Source organism: Homo sapiens, chromosome 18, assembly GCF_000001405.40.
Source record: "Homo sapiens chromosome 18, GRCh38.p14 Primary Assembly".
Classification (NCBI taxonomy): Eukaryota; Metazoa; Chordata; class Mammalia; order Primates; family Hominidae; genus Homo; species Homo sapiens.
In genome coordinates this window covers 2,112,821-2,127,357 of record NC_000018.10, presented here as the reverse complement: position 1 = coordinate 2,127,357, position 14,537 = coordinate 2,112,821, and the positions used below count along the sequence as shown (strand labels likewise).

The following is a 14,537-nucleotide window of genomic DNA, read 5'->3' as shown; positions in this document are numbered from 1 at the left end:
AAGGTGAAAGAGTCTGAAATGCTCCAGGCCATCTGAACTGGGCAGAGAGACATGAAGACTGGAGGGCCTGGGGAGAGACAGTGAAGATTCCGTGTGGCTGAGGCTGCTGAAGTAGAGGCACTCGGGCAAAAGAGGCAGGAAAAAGGGGGTTAGGGTCAGATTTTAAATTTCTGAAGGGTTTGGTTGTGCTGTCTTCATGTTGTGATTTTAGCAGTGGGTTGCTGAGGAGAAGCTAAAGAAAGTAGGAGGTGGAGCTATAGAAAATATAATTGAATGTTGGTGGGAGTGTAAATTAGTTCAACCATTGTGAAAAGCAGGGTGGTGATTCCTCAAAGAACTTAAAGCAAGATTACCATGCAATCCAGCGATCCTATTACTAGTTATATACTGAAATGAATATAAATCATTTTACCATAAAGACACATGCATGTGTATGTTCATTGCAGCAGTATTCACTATTCACAATAGCAAAGACATGGAATCAACCTGAATTCCCATCAACAGTAGACTGGATAATGAAAATGTGGTACGTATACACCCCAGAATACTATGCAGCCTTAAAAAAGAATTAGATCATTCCTTCACAGCAACATGGATGGAGCTGGAGGCCATTATCCTAAGCAAACTAACACAGGAGCATAAAACCAAATACTGTGTATTCCTACTTAAGAGTGGGAGCTAAACAGTGAGAACACATGAATATTAGGAGAGCAGCAACAGACACTGATGCCTACCTGAGAGTAGAAGGTGGGAGGAGGGAGAGGATCAGAAAAAATACCTATCAGATACTGTGCTTATTACTAGAGTGATGAAATTATCTGTAAACCAAACCCTGTGACATGCAATTTATCTTTATAACAAACTTGCCCATGTACCCCCAAAACTAAAATAAAAGTTAAAAAACACAAAGAAAATATAATTGGAAATAAAAAGGTCAAAGAATTGAGGTAAGGGCTTTTCATACAATGTCATCTGTGTAGGCACTACGTTGTCTGGGATGATGGAAGGAGCTAAAGTCTTCAGTGAATGAAGGAGCAGGACCAGGAGCTCAAAATACTTCTTTGAAGACAAAGAAGAAATGATATTACCAAATGGTTGGCTCAAAAGAACAGGGATTTTGCAACAGAGAGAGTATGTCATGGTCTTGAACAAGCAATGGTGAGTAAAGGAGACACCGAATCTTCTCTTGGTCATGAATATGTTGGGATATAGAAGAGAAGATAGCCTTCATTTCAGAGGGTCTAGGGGAAGCAGGGTACTCAGGGGACAGCTAAGACTTGATTAAACCAAGTATTGATTAAGGCAAGATAGTGAAGAAGAAGAAGTCAAAGATGTAGAGGAGATTTTTGATTACACTTTAAATTGAATATCAGAAGGGGAGAGCATCTTGGATGGAGGAATAGAGAGGATGCACAGAATTACAGTGGGTGTAGAATTGAGTGGTGGTAAGAGCTAAGAATGAAGGGTCCCTTGGTGAGTGAGTGCGTGAATAATTGTTCAATGCTCTGCGCTGGGTTGCCAAAGTTTGAGTTAGTACGCCTCTTGGCTCTAGTCATATCCCCAGTTGCCTCCAGTAGGCCTGCCATTTGTTTGGGAGCTTGAGAAGTCAGTGAGGGCTGCTTTGGGTAGTCCTCTATGTTTTGAAAAATAACTTAAATCCCTCCCCTTGGACCAAGTAAAGAGACTGCATTCTATTAAATTTTCATCATAAGGGAAACAGATCAACGCACAACTAACACTATTCTTTTCAGAGTGCTTATAGTAACAAAACAAAATAAAACAAAACAAAACAACTTTTTAAATGGTAAGATAAAGCACTAGATAACTGAACACATAGAGACATGGCGAGTCCTCAGTTTCAGTTCTCAAGTTTATTCTACTAGTTCTTCTGTATTGTAATTGTAGAACATTTTGTTTCAGCGTGGGAGACAGCTATTACTGTCATCCCAACAGCATAAAAAGTAGATTCCATAAGCTGCTATATATACATACTTCATTTAATTCAAAAGGAGTGTCATCCTTTAGGAAATAATTTTCAGGGATGATTAGAAAACAGTCCCAAGGATACATAAGAACATGTCTAAATAAACTTCAGAGTAATTCAATGAACATTTTGCTGTTGTGAACATTTTCTCATGAGCTGTTCTTTCATTGTATAACATAAAGAAGTTACATGGAAAAAAGGAAATGCAATGTTCAAGGCAAAATAAAATTTACCTTATCCATCACCATACCACCTTGCAGGAGGAAGAGAATTCCAAATACTTTAGCATAATGGGACAGAGGTGAGAGAGTGCATGGTATATTCAATGGACTAGATGTCATTTGGTAGAATGACAATGAAAGTTCCAATTAAAAGACAAAGGTGGGTAAGAGATTAGGCTGGATAATTAGGAGAGTGTAAATGATGAAGGCAATAAGATATTTCTTGCTGAGAAGTTTAGACTTATTATGAGGTTAATGAGGTACAACTGATAGCTACTAGACAGAGGAGGAGCACGACCAGAAATATATCTTTAAAAGATGTTTAGTAGCTGTGTGGAAGGTAGATTGGATGAAACAGATATGGGAGAAGATCAAGTAAGATGTAGTAATTGAAGGGATAAATGATGATGGCTTAAACAAATCAAGGGTGGTGGGGGACCGACGGAAACTTGAGAGAGATTAGGTAGCCAGAGCGAGTGAGACAGGATGGTCCCACCACTTGTCCAGAAACCAGGGACTCAAGTCAAATGCCGAAGTTTATCATTGAGTCTTTCTGCCTTCTTTTTATCTTTTATCTTTTCATCTTTTATCTTTCTAGGACTCCCCTCTTTTTTTGACCGAAGCCTGAATATAATATCCTGATGGTTTTTGTATTTTTCTAGCAATGTGTTCCTTTGCTTCTCCTGTACACCTTTGAACACCATGGCTATTCCCATTGATTTAAAAGAGTACGACACTGGGCAGGATTTGTGAGGCCTAGAGTTCCGTCCTTGCTTGAAGTTGGGGTGAGATGTTTCTGACTTTGATGAAATTTTATGTAACATCCCTGGGAAAGCCTATAAGGGCTTAATCTATACTTTTGAGCTCCAGAGTGTGAAGGAAAGGATAATGATACCAAGCACCTTTACTATTGCAATATATTTTCTCACTTGGTCTTGAGTTGTCACAACAGTCCTATGAAATAACTACTATGACAAACCGCGTTGTACAAGTGAGGCTATTGAGGCACAGAGAGGTTATGTAACTATAAGATCACCAGGGAGTAAGTGGCAACTTGTCTAAGGCAAGCTCATAGGTGGCAGAGTCAGGATTTGAACCCAGGCTGTGTGGCTGTAGGCTGTTAACTGCTACTGCTACTCTCTGCCACTTCTCAGCACTTGGGGCCTACTAGAGTAGCCAGGGAGGTTGAATTTCTTGTGCCACAGAAATTCCCTTGATGTTCATCTACTAGTCAGAGATGAGGGCAGTATTTCTACGTCAGGGCTTCTGCAGATTGATAGTGTTCTTCTTGTCATCACAGGGGAGAGAAAAGTTTAGGGTTGGTGCGAGGGAAGTGCTGTTTTCTAGGATTAGCTTTGTTTTTTATTTTTAATTTAAAATTTTTAATTTCTGTACGTACATAGTAGGTGTATATATTTATGGGGTACATGAAATGTTTTGATACAGGCATGCAATGCATAATAGTCACATCATGGAGAACGGGGCATCCATCCCCTCAAGCATTTATCCTTTGTGTTACAAACAATCCATTTATACTTTTTTAGTTACTTCAAAATGCACAATTAAGTTCTTATTGACTGCAGTCACACTGTTGTGCTGTGAAGTAGTAGGTCTTGTGGTTGCCTTTGTTATCCGTGTTCCCATGCCTCAAATCCTCTAAGGTTGCCATTTGTGGTACCCATTTCAGATACGTTCCCCAACATTGTTGATGATGATAAAGCAATGGATAGATCCAATAGTCTAAAGTTGTCACAAGAAAGGGATGGTGATAAGGGGATGGGGGAGTGAGACTATCATATCACATCTATCTATCTGTCTGTCTATCTGTCTGTCTGTCTGTCTATCCATCCATCTATCTATCTATCTATCTATCTATCTATCTATCTATCTATCTACCTATCTATCTATCATCTATTTGTCTACCTACCTATCATCTAATCTACCATCTATCCATCCATCTGTCTTCTAACTATGTATCTCTATCTATAGTTCCTGGCTTCTATGTATCATGTTCTTTACTTGACCCTTTCACGGAATTAGATCATTTCATTCTTAAAGACTGTATGTAATACCCCTATTTTACAGATGAAGAAATTGAGCCTAAGAAATAGTACATCTTTTTCAGACCTGAAGTCAGAGTTTGTAGTCAAATTAGTCTGACTCCAAAGTATGTAGTCTTTCCCTTTACCACACAGCTCTTAGGCTGGGTCTTTTAGTTTTTGGCCAGATGTCTACTTGTTAGACCAGATTATTGCTGTTTTAAGATTTTTCCAGATCATCTCTGTAATGATCTCAATAGAACATTTGCAAATTAACCTCTGTCTTTCTCAATACTGGTTGTGTGAAATGTAATACATTAAAAAGAAAATCTATTCTGTGTAGGCAAATAAAGGTGTAAAACTTGAAGGGGATGCTAAAGATAAATTTTGCTTTTGTTTTAGATGAACTGTGTAATCAAATGCCATTTGTCTTATTCTGTGGGAGTTTTGAGAAAAGCAGTGCAGAGAAGACCGGAGAAGCCATGCCTGTTTTTCCATATACAACATAATTAGCATATTAAAATAATTTTAATGATAATATGCTTACTCTATAATCAATTAAAGTTCCATTCTAGGGACTTACCCTATTAGGCCAGTGCTTAGCTTTATTATGTAGAAGGAACAAGCTAGGTAAGGTATCTCACCAATTTTTGCCTCATGTATTTGTTCTTTACCTGATGTATCTCTCAGAATATCTGGTTACTGTGGCAACAGAACATATCAAAATTTCATCTAGGTAAATAGATGCAAAGGAATTACTTATTTTAATATGCATATTTTTTCCTTCAAAGTCTGTTTTCTACTCAAGCTGATTAACTAACTTTGCCCATAAAAATTAACTGATTTTGCCCATAAAAACCAAGATAGGTTGTATTGTCTTTACTCACGGTGCCAAGAAGTGTAAATTATGTTGCCAGAAATAAATCACAACACAAAAATGAATGAACTCAATAGCAATCAGCATCATATATAATAGGACCCAAATGAACTGTTTGTTCATTTCCTACCACTTTGATTCCATGGATCTTAGTTGGGGGGACTGAGTTCTTGAGAAGAATACTCTTTAAAGAAGGATTTCCACAGGTTATTGGCTAAAAAAGCAGGGGCTCATGTAAACGATGCTTTTTTCTTTTTCTTTTTCTTTTTTTGGAGGGAGGAGAGAATGAATTTCCCAAAAGTTCCATCCAGGATTTATCATGCACTTTCTTTTTAATAATAGAGGAACTTAATGTCATTAACAGCTATGACCTGTAAATTTTGTTTGAGACTACTGCATTTGCTGAAATTAAATTTTTACTTCCAAATGTGTAAACACATCTCAGCTAGGGCTTTTATATAATCGTACTCTTGCTCTGCTTGCTTACTGGTATTTATGACTGCTTGCTTCTGTTAATTGGCTAATGTTTGTAAAGTGCCTTTGAGATGAAAAGCTAATGATCTCTGTAGGGAGGAGGGTGTGGGTGGCTTCCCAACAGCTCCCTAAGGGTGTCTCTTGGGGCTTTGACTGCCAAGGCTTGCTTGTGGGCTCAGGGATAATGAGGAATCCCTTAAGACTTCAATGTCCCTGGTTCTCGAAGTCTTTTCCATTTGGTTCTCCTGGCTTTTACAAAGTCACTCCTTGGAGGAAGTAAAAATCATCATTCCTGCAAAGCTCTAAGACTTTTTTTACCCACTTACCACTAGAGTTTGCTCTAACGCAGTAGGACAGCATCTCTTTGCTATTACAAAAGAACTAATAGTAATAGAAACACATAAACAAGTCCAAAAGATGTTGCTCTTCTTATTAGAGACATATGTTTTATTATTTTATCTTTTTTTTCTGTCGAATCAGGTTAAAGGGAGCTATGTTTTTATTTATTTATTTTTGTGTTTTGAAAGGTAGGACATACTTTTGTTAAAAGAGGTTGACTAAGAAAACTGTAATTGCAAACCAATAAAATTTTCACCCATTTATACAACAAACATATATTAGAAGGGAAAATAATTTTTTTTTAAAAAAAGTAATGTATTATCATTTAGATAAAGCTACTGATTTTTTTTGTCACTGTATAGAAATGATATTTAGAATTTTCATGCATTACATGATTCCCATGCTGGGATTTTTTGGTTTTTAAATAATATTAAATAATACTACCGGTGTCTTTGTTGGCCTACATGCTGCTTTTGCTAACATCTTATTTTTTTTGCATTTCCTGCATCTCTACATTAGCATTGCACAGTCACATCCCTGGTCACTGGTCTGGGATACAGCCCCTTGGGGACTCCCTCCCGGGGTTTGTACAGTCAGTTCTGTAGAGGAACGTGGTGTCCAAAGGGACCACACCACTGCCTGGATTCTCCCATGGAGACCAAAGATTTTCCAGCTATTTATTTTTCATCAGCTGGTAATTGCTGGACTACTTAGAATGAGTTTCAGAAGCATCATTAAAGATACAGAAAAGCTCAGTTCAAAGACATTCCTTACATCAATTTTCACAATCAAGAAAAGTTAGAAAAAGCTGAATGCCCCAAAATAGACTGGCTGAATAAATGATGGTGCGACCACTTAATGGGCTATCATGCCATCATTAGGACAACATGAGGAATGCTTATGCTTATGCTATGATGTAAAGTAAACAAAAGACAATAGAAAAGTGATAATAAAGTATATTCTTAACAATATAAAATATGCATAGAAGCTGCCTGTAAGGGCACGGTGGCTCACGCCTGTAATCCCAAGGACCTTGGGAGGCTAGGGAGGGTGGATCACTTGAGATCAGGAGTTTGAGATCAGCTGGGCAACATGGTGAAACCCCATCTCTACTAAAAATGAAAAAATGGGCCGGGTGTGATGTAGTCCTAGCTACTCCGGAGGCTGAGGCAGGAGAAGCACTTGAACCTGGGCGGTGGACGTTGCAGTGAGCCAAGATCACATCACCGAAATCCACCTGGATGACAGAACAAGGTTTCAAAAAAAAAAAAAAATTGTAAGGAAATATAATAAAACATTAAGATTGATCATTTTCTTCTTAATCATTGTTTCATATGCTTTGAAATTTTACGATGAGCAAGTGTTTTTCCTTTTTAGTAATTTTCCTTTTAAAATAATTACATAAAACATACAAAAACTACAGAGAATGATATAAAATAACAGATATCTTTGTATTCATATGAGATCTTGCATGATTTTGTCTCATTTGCTTAGATATTTTCAGTTATTTTTTTGAGATAAAGTGTTTGATTTCTCTGTCTTTCTTCCTGGAAGTAATCACTATTCTGAGGTTTATGAGTTTTATGTTTTTGTTACATGTGTAAGCTTTCATAAGTGTTGTATAATATTGTTATGTGTATTTTAAGCTTATACATAACAATTGTTGTTCTACATGTCATTTTACAATTTACTTTGTTTAGTCAACCTTTACCTTTAAGATTTATTCATGATGCTGTATGTAGAGCTACTTCACTTTCAAATGCTCATATATAATCCCATTGATCCGTTTATCAAAATACAACCATTTATCCATTCATTCTCCCAGTAGGATACACTTCAAAGTTATTTTAGACTTTTTGCTCTTGTAAAATGTTGCATTTAATATTCTTATGAGTCTTCTCTACACATATTTGAGTTTCTCTAAATGTACCTAGAAGTAGCATTACTAGTTTGAAAATATCCATATCTTAACTCTACTAGATTTTACTAAATTATTTTCCAGTTTATACTCCCAATAGCAGAATACATGAATTACTATTTCCCTACATTCTTGTCAACTCTTGAAATTAGACTTTTAAATATTGGCTAAGTGGCTAAATATGAAAGGACATCTCGTATGGGTTTTTATGTACTTTTCCCTGTTAATTAGCTTTTAGGCTCCACTTTGATGTGAATTGCCTGTTTCTTTGCCTATTATTCTGTTAGGTCATTTTTCCTTTTCCTACTGGTTTTTTAAGCATTTATGATATAGTTGAGATACTAATTCTTTGTCAGTTTTATGCATGGCAAATATTTTCTTCTGGTATGTAGATTGTCTCTGTATTTTAAGAGTTCCTTTAATGAATAGATGTTTTAACTTTTAATGTAGCAAAATTTATTAAAATTTTCTTTACAAGGTTTTTTTGTTTCTTATTGAAGATATATTTTGCTTACCTGAGGTCATAAATACATTTACTACTTTCTTCTAAAACAATTGTTTTTGCATGCTGTGTGATGTAGAAAGCTAAGTTAATTTATTCCTGTGTAGCTAACCATCATCCTGGCACCACTTCTTATTAAATAGTCCATTGTGACCACACTGATTTGTAATGTTGTCTTCAATTTATGACAACTTTTCAAATGTGAGAGATGGTTTGGTTCTGAACCCTTATCTTTAATTTGTCTATTTGGTTGTTGTTGTTCTATTACAACACTATCACAATCACTACAGCCTTACAACATGCTGGTATTTGCTAGAGCAGATCGGTCTATCTTATTTTCCTTTTTAATAATTGTCTTGCCTGTGCTGGACAGTTTATTCTTCCACATATATTTCATTATCATCTTGTAAAGTTATTTAAACAATGCTTTTGGAATTTTGATTGGATTTTGGTGATATTTAGAGATTAATTGGGGAAGGATGATATAGTTACTATATTGAGTTTTTCTATCTAGGAACAGTTCATTTCATCACTTAGGTCTCGCGTATCTTTAACATTTTATAATTCTTTGTATATTTTTATTAGATTTCTTCCCTATTATTATGTGTGTGTATGTGTATAATATTGTTACACGACTACATTTCTTAAATTAAAGTGTCTGGTCTATAGGAACTCTGTTGATTTTTCTGTATTAATGTTGTTTTCATCAACCTTGTTGACATCTTTTATTAGTTATGAGTTTATCTATAGATTCTTTTGAGTTTCCTATGTAGAAAACCATGACTTTTACAATAACAAATGTATTTCTTTTTATCCACTATATTTTGATTCTCTTTTTCTTGTGTATTGAGCTAACAGAGACTGGCATCTACACAATGCATTCTTCTTTCTTAAAAATAGAAACACGATGTGCCCAGCTAAAAAAACTACATTTTGCAGCCTCTCATATAGGGATGACAACTGAGATGTATATAGAAGTAGGTGGGTTGGACTTTCAAGAAAGTTCTTTAAGGGGAAAGATAACTCCAATGATAAGTGCATCCTTTTGCCTTTTTTTCTGTCTTCCTTTCTGAATCTTGGATCAATGGATGTGATGTTTGGAGCTCCAGCCCCCATTTTGGCATCATGAAATTCCCCTGAGAATGCAAGCAAATGTTGAGAATGGTGGAACAGAAAGGAAGAAGAACTTGGGCCCTGATATATTTATGGAGCTGAAATTTTAGGTCAGCACTGACATCAGAATTTCTTTTAGGCAAGAAAACTAACTTCCACCTTGTTTAAGGCACTATTGGTAATGTTTTCTGTAACACACAGCCAAATTTAATCATAAATGTACATAGTGCTGTGTTTCCAGTAGCATTTTTAATTAAAAAAGTGATAGAGGGTATGGTCTTTTTCTCAAATTTGGGAGAAAATGCTTCCAGTTTTCACTATAAAGTTTGCTGTTTGCTGTAAGTTTTTTGTAGAAATCTTTTTTCATCATATGTTTTCTTTCTTTTCCTAGTTATCTGAATTTTATCAGGAATGCTTGTGGAATTTTATCAAATGCTTTTTCTGAATCAAATTTTTTTCTGTATTATTTTATCTACTAATATGATTATATTAATAAATTTTTCTAATTTTAATCTATCCTTTCTTTTCTGGGATAAACTCTAAGTGGTTACTATGAACTGTCTCTTAATATAACATTACTTTAAAAATATATTGCTTGGTTTGATTTGCAAATATTGTATTTAAAATTTTTGTATTTATATTCAAAAGGGAGGAATGGCCTATACTTTCCTTTTTATGATTGGCTCATCTGATTCTTTTGTTGAAGTCAATTTCATGAAATGACTTGTGAGCGCATTTCACTTTCTATTTCCCAGAACAGTTTGTGTATAGCAGTGGGGTTATTTTTTTTCCTCGATTATTCATATTATCTCATCTGTAAAACTGCCTTGGTCAGTGATTTTCTTGCAGGTAAAATTTAAATTCTTTTTAAATTATAGAAAAGTTTTCAATTCTTTTGAAAAAATTTGATTTTAAGTTGTTTCATGTTCTGTTTTTTCATGAGATAATTTTGCTACCTTTATATTTTTTGAAAAATTTTCTATATCTCTAACTTTTCATATTTATTAACAGAAAGGTGTTCCTTATAATGTCTAATGACATTTTCCTTCTATTTTTGTCTGTATCAATTTTTTTTGCTAACATTATTTATTTATGTCTTCTTTTCTTTTATATTAGGCGATATCCAGAGATTTTTCTATTTTTCTTAGTCTTTTATTTAAAAAACACTTTAAAATTTTATGTCTTTTTCTGTTTTCTGTTTCATTAAATTCTGCCAATTTTCTTCCAACTTTCTAGGGCTTATTTTATGGTTATTATCTGTCTTTGTGAATTAACTGCTTACTCAGCTTTTTTCTAATATAAACATTTACACAATACATCATTCTCTATATTCTGTTTTGGTTGTGCTTCACAACGTTTTTTTTTTTTTGAGACGGAGTCTCCCTCCGTCGCCCAGGCTGGAGTGCAGTGGCGCGATCTGGGCTCACTGCAAGCTCCGCCTCCCGGGTTCACGCCATTCTCCTGCCTCAGCCTCCCGAGTAGCTGGGACTACAGGCGCCTGCAACCACGCTCGGCTAATTTTTTGTATTTTTAGTAGAGACGGGATTTCACTGTGTTAGCCAGGATGGTCTCGATCTCCTGACCTCGTGATCCGCCCGCCTGGCCTCCCAAAGTGCAGGGATTACAGGCGCGAGCCACCGCACCTGGCCTGTGCTTCACAACTTTAAAAGATAGTGTTTTTATTCTCTTTTAATTCTGAGTATATTCCAGTTTACATTATGATTTTTTTTCTTTGATCTGTAGATTACTTCGAAGTATGCTTTTTTATTTTTAAAAGACTTTCTGTCTTTTAGTATCAATCTATGTTTTACGTTATTGTTTAATCAATTTTTATAGTGTTGTTACTTTTCTAAACATGTTAAACATTCTTTCTGATTGCTCTGTTGTATCAGAGGATGCTAATGCTACTTCTCTCTATTTTGTTGTCTGTTGATACACTCTTGATTGCTCATTTTTCTGTTTCATTTATTTTTAAAAATTGCAAATGCCTCTTGAGTGTTGTTTGCTTAAGTGTGGGAGTTTAGTGCATCTTGGATTATGGAACTTCTTCAAAGTATTCTTGGTTTTGCTTCTGCTAAAATTTTAGGGAGTTCTCATTAAACATATAGCAGTATTTACCTTAATCTCCCAACTTGGGAATCTTATACCACCCAGATTGCTAAATGTTCCCCAACACTCACGTAAATTGCAGATTTGGAGTTTTGCTTCTGATAATGGAATTACTTTTCCCCAAAGCCCTCACAGAAGTAATTTCTCATGTTTCCCTGGAGAAAAATTGGTAAGAGAGTTTCTAGACCCCTGTTCCCGGAGAGGTCACCCATTATAGGGTCCTGGCGAAATGTGTGAGTCTTGGTGTCACTTTCCTGCCTTTCGAGACCCTGTGGCCATGCATCCATGTATTTCCTCCCAGGAGTCAGGGACTTATTTTAGGACTAATATTTCCAGGGGACCAGGTTATTGCTTGTGTATCAGGAGACAAGCTTATTGCTCTGTTTTTGAGTTCCTCTTCTATTTCTGGCACCTGTAGATTTCCTTTGCTTTTTTCCAAGTTTACCTATTAATCTTATTTGGTTACATTTTAGCCAGCATTTCTATGTGGTGTTGCTGACGCTGTAAATTTGAAGTCTATATTAGCACTGGATCCACGGAAACTAATGTAATTGGAGAGGGAGGAGAAGGAGAAAATAATTCAGAAATACAGAGGAGCTAGGCAAGGAGCGGTGATAGATTGCTCCAGAAAGGCAGTAAGTATCTAGCATCTTCCGGGGAGCCCCTGGGGGCCTATCTGACCTGTTTGTTCTTTGGTTATGGAGTACTAAGAACAGGGCTGAGGCTGGTGCCCTGACAGAGTGGGCATTTGCTGCGCTGACTTCTGGAAGTCCTCAGTCCCATTGTTGACTAAGTGCCAAGATCACGTGGTAGGACATGTTTCTAACAGAAAAGGAAGCCATGCTGCTGCTGTGCATGTGCTTACACTGAATAGGAGTGAAGTTTTGCATCTTCTAAAATGCATTAAAGAGTGATCAAAATTACAGCCCTCTCTGAATGAGACTCTCCTTTAACACAACTTACATTCGGTAAGTGCCTACTATGTTTCAACAAATAAGAGATGGGTAGGTGGGTCTCTGAAGCTGTCAGCTTAGCAGAGGAGGTGGGAGCACACAGCCAAGCCTAAAACAATTTGAGGCTTGTTATGAAAGTGATATGAACAGATGCTGTTGGAGCAAAGGCGAAGGAGGAATGAATTGGTTGATTCAAATGAGGGGGAGTGATGTGGTAGGGAAATCTTTCTAGGGGCAATTTCTGAGCTTTGCCATGTAGGATGAACGGGAAACTACCTGTGGGGAAGGAAGAGAGGCAATGTAATCTGAGCAGAAGAGCTGAGACCTCCCTCTGCAGGGTTTTCAGACCCCTGTTGACCAATCCACTGGAGCTGGAGCCTTGGGTATTGTCAGAGTAGAGGAGGCTGGGTCCAGATAATAAAAGACTTTGAGTGTAACAGTTGCTTTCATTTGTTTGGAAGATGCTTTTTCCTCTTACCTTAGGGAAAATAAATGTTTATATCAACTCAGTACATGCCTACATTTGGATTATATTTTGGTTCCCTTAAAGTCCTTCCTATATACCTAATTTATTTATTCAAATGTAATAATGTTGGGGAAAATAAGGGGGTTTGAAAGTCTGTTGCACAAAAACCATTCAAAAATATAATTTTTAGTGATTATCGTAAAAGCATAATACAGTAACTTTATCTCTGAATGAGATAGATATAGATTAAGCAAGGGTATGCAGTTTTTACTATGACAATTTCACATTGCATGCTATTTATACTACTTGTGATTTTCTGAAAGAGATACCAATCAGACTTGCAAATTAATGTGGTTAGCATTTTACTCAAAAATAATGATTTTGTTCCTCACCTTTATTTATAGTCACTGCAAAGTTATAAAAAGGAACAAGGGGGAGAACTTTCACTAAATTGGTGAAGTTTATTATAGTACTTTTTAGACTAGCATGATGTAAGAGGAAAGATACTAGGAAATACCAACCCAAAGCCTTTTAATATTCATTTATAATTGTATGTATGTTAGACCCCCCAATTCACAGGAGAACATTTATTATTTTGGTCATAGTTTTAATTAAAAATCAGAATAAATATGACTTTCTATTGCCATGCTTGTCAGTTTTACTTAACCTTTTGTTCCTTTATTTAAAACATCTATTTTCCTACCTGTCTATTTATCTAGGTAGCTTAGCATCTACCGCTAGTCCTAGTGGTCACTGAATTAAAATATAGTAAAACATAATACCTGGTTCCTTTGATCAATGCCTTGCTGTTCTCTACTTTTGCTTGCCTGGATTTTGGTATCTATGTCATCTTCAAGATGGATCATCCCTGGTTTGAATTTGTGAATGCAAGTTCATTCAGCAGTCTGATCATGTGTGGTGTTTTTGCAAATGTGAATGAATAGAGATTAACTTCATGCCACCTACTGCAATAATTTCTCTTGTAGATTTGAAACTAAATTGCAGAAGGGGATGTGTGATATATGAATATGGCATGATGCTTTTCTCCTATCTCCTTGTTTTCAATCCTTAGAAACCTGAGTATTTGGGAAAAATGCAAATTCTGAAAAATCTTAATAATTTTTCGAAGACCACTTTTGGTAAACTTGTAGGTTTCAACTCTTACAATTAGGAGGAAGAAATTGCAATTATTTTGGTGAATTTGTTAAAATTTTGCAAAAGATCACATACACTAGATGAGACTCAAACAACTGAAATGTAATTGTTTAATGAAAATGGAAAGTCTGAAGAGAGTATTGTGTGGTGGTGCCAGCCCCTGAAAAATGAGCAAAACAGCTCCTTGTCTCACATAAAGTTATTTCATTAAATCGGCCTTTCGATTTTAAACAACCTTTAGAAGCAGAATCAGAAAGACATTTTTAAGAAATGAGGGAGGAACGATGACTCAGAGGATGAACAAGCACAAAAAAATTAGGAGAGGAAATTATTACCTGGAGGCATTAAATATAACAAACTTAGCTGGTATTTGTCACAGCAGTTTCA

General features: G+C 36.0%; 1 long non-coding RNA gene across 1 annotated transcript in view; it reads left to right on the top strand.

Annotated features, from left to right (window-relative positions):
• Positions 1-980: 980 nt before the first annotated feature.
• Positions 981-14,537, top strand: part of LOC105371956 (uncharacterized) — a 92,178-nt gene continuing 78,621 nt past the window's right edge. Inside the window, exon 1 of the long non-coding RNA XR_935087.3 lies at positions 981-1,158. This is a non-coding gene — a long non-coding RNA (uncharacterized LOC105371956). The remainder of the gene's footprint in view (positions 1,159-14,537) is intronic.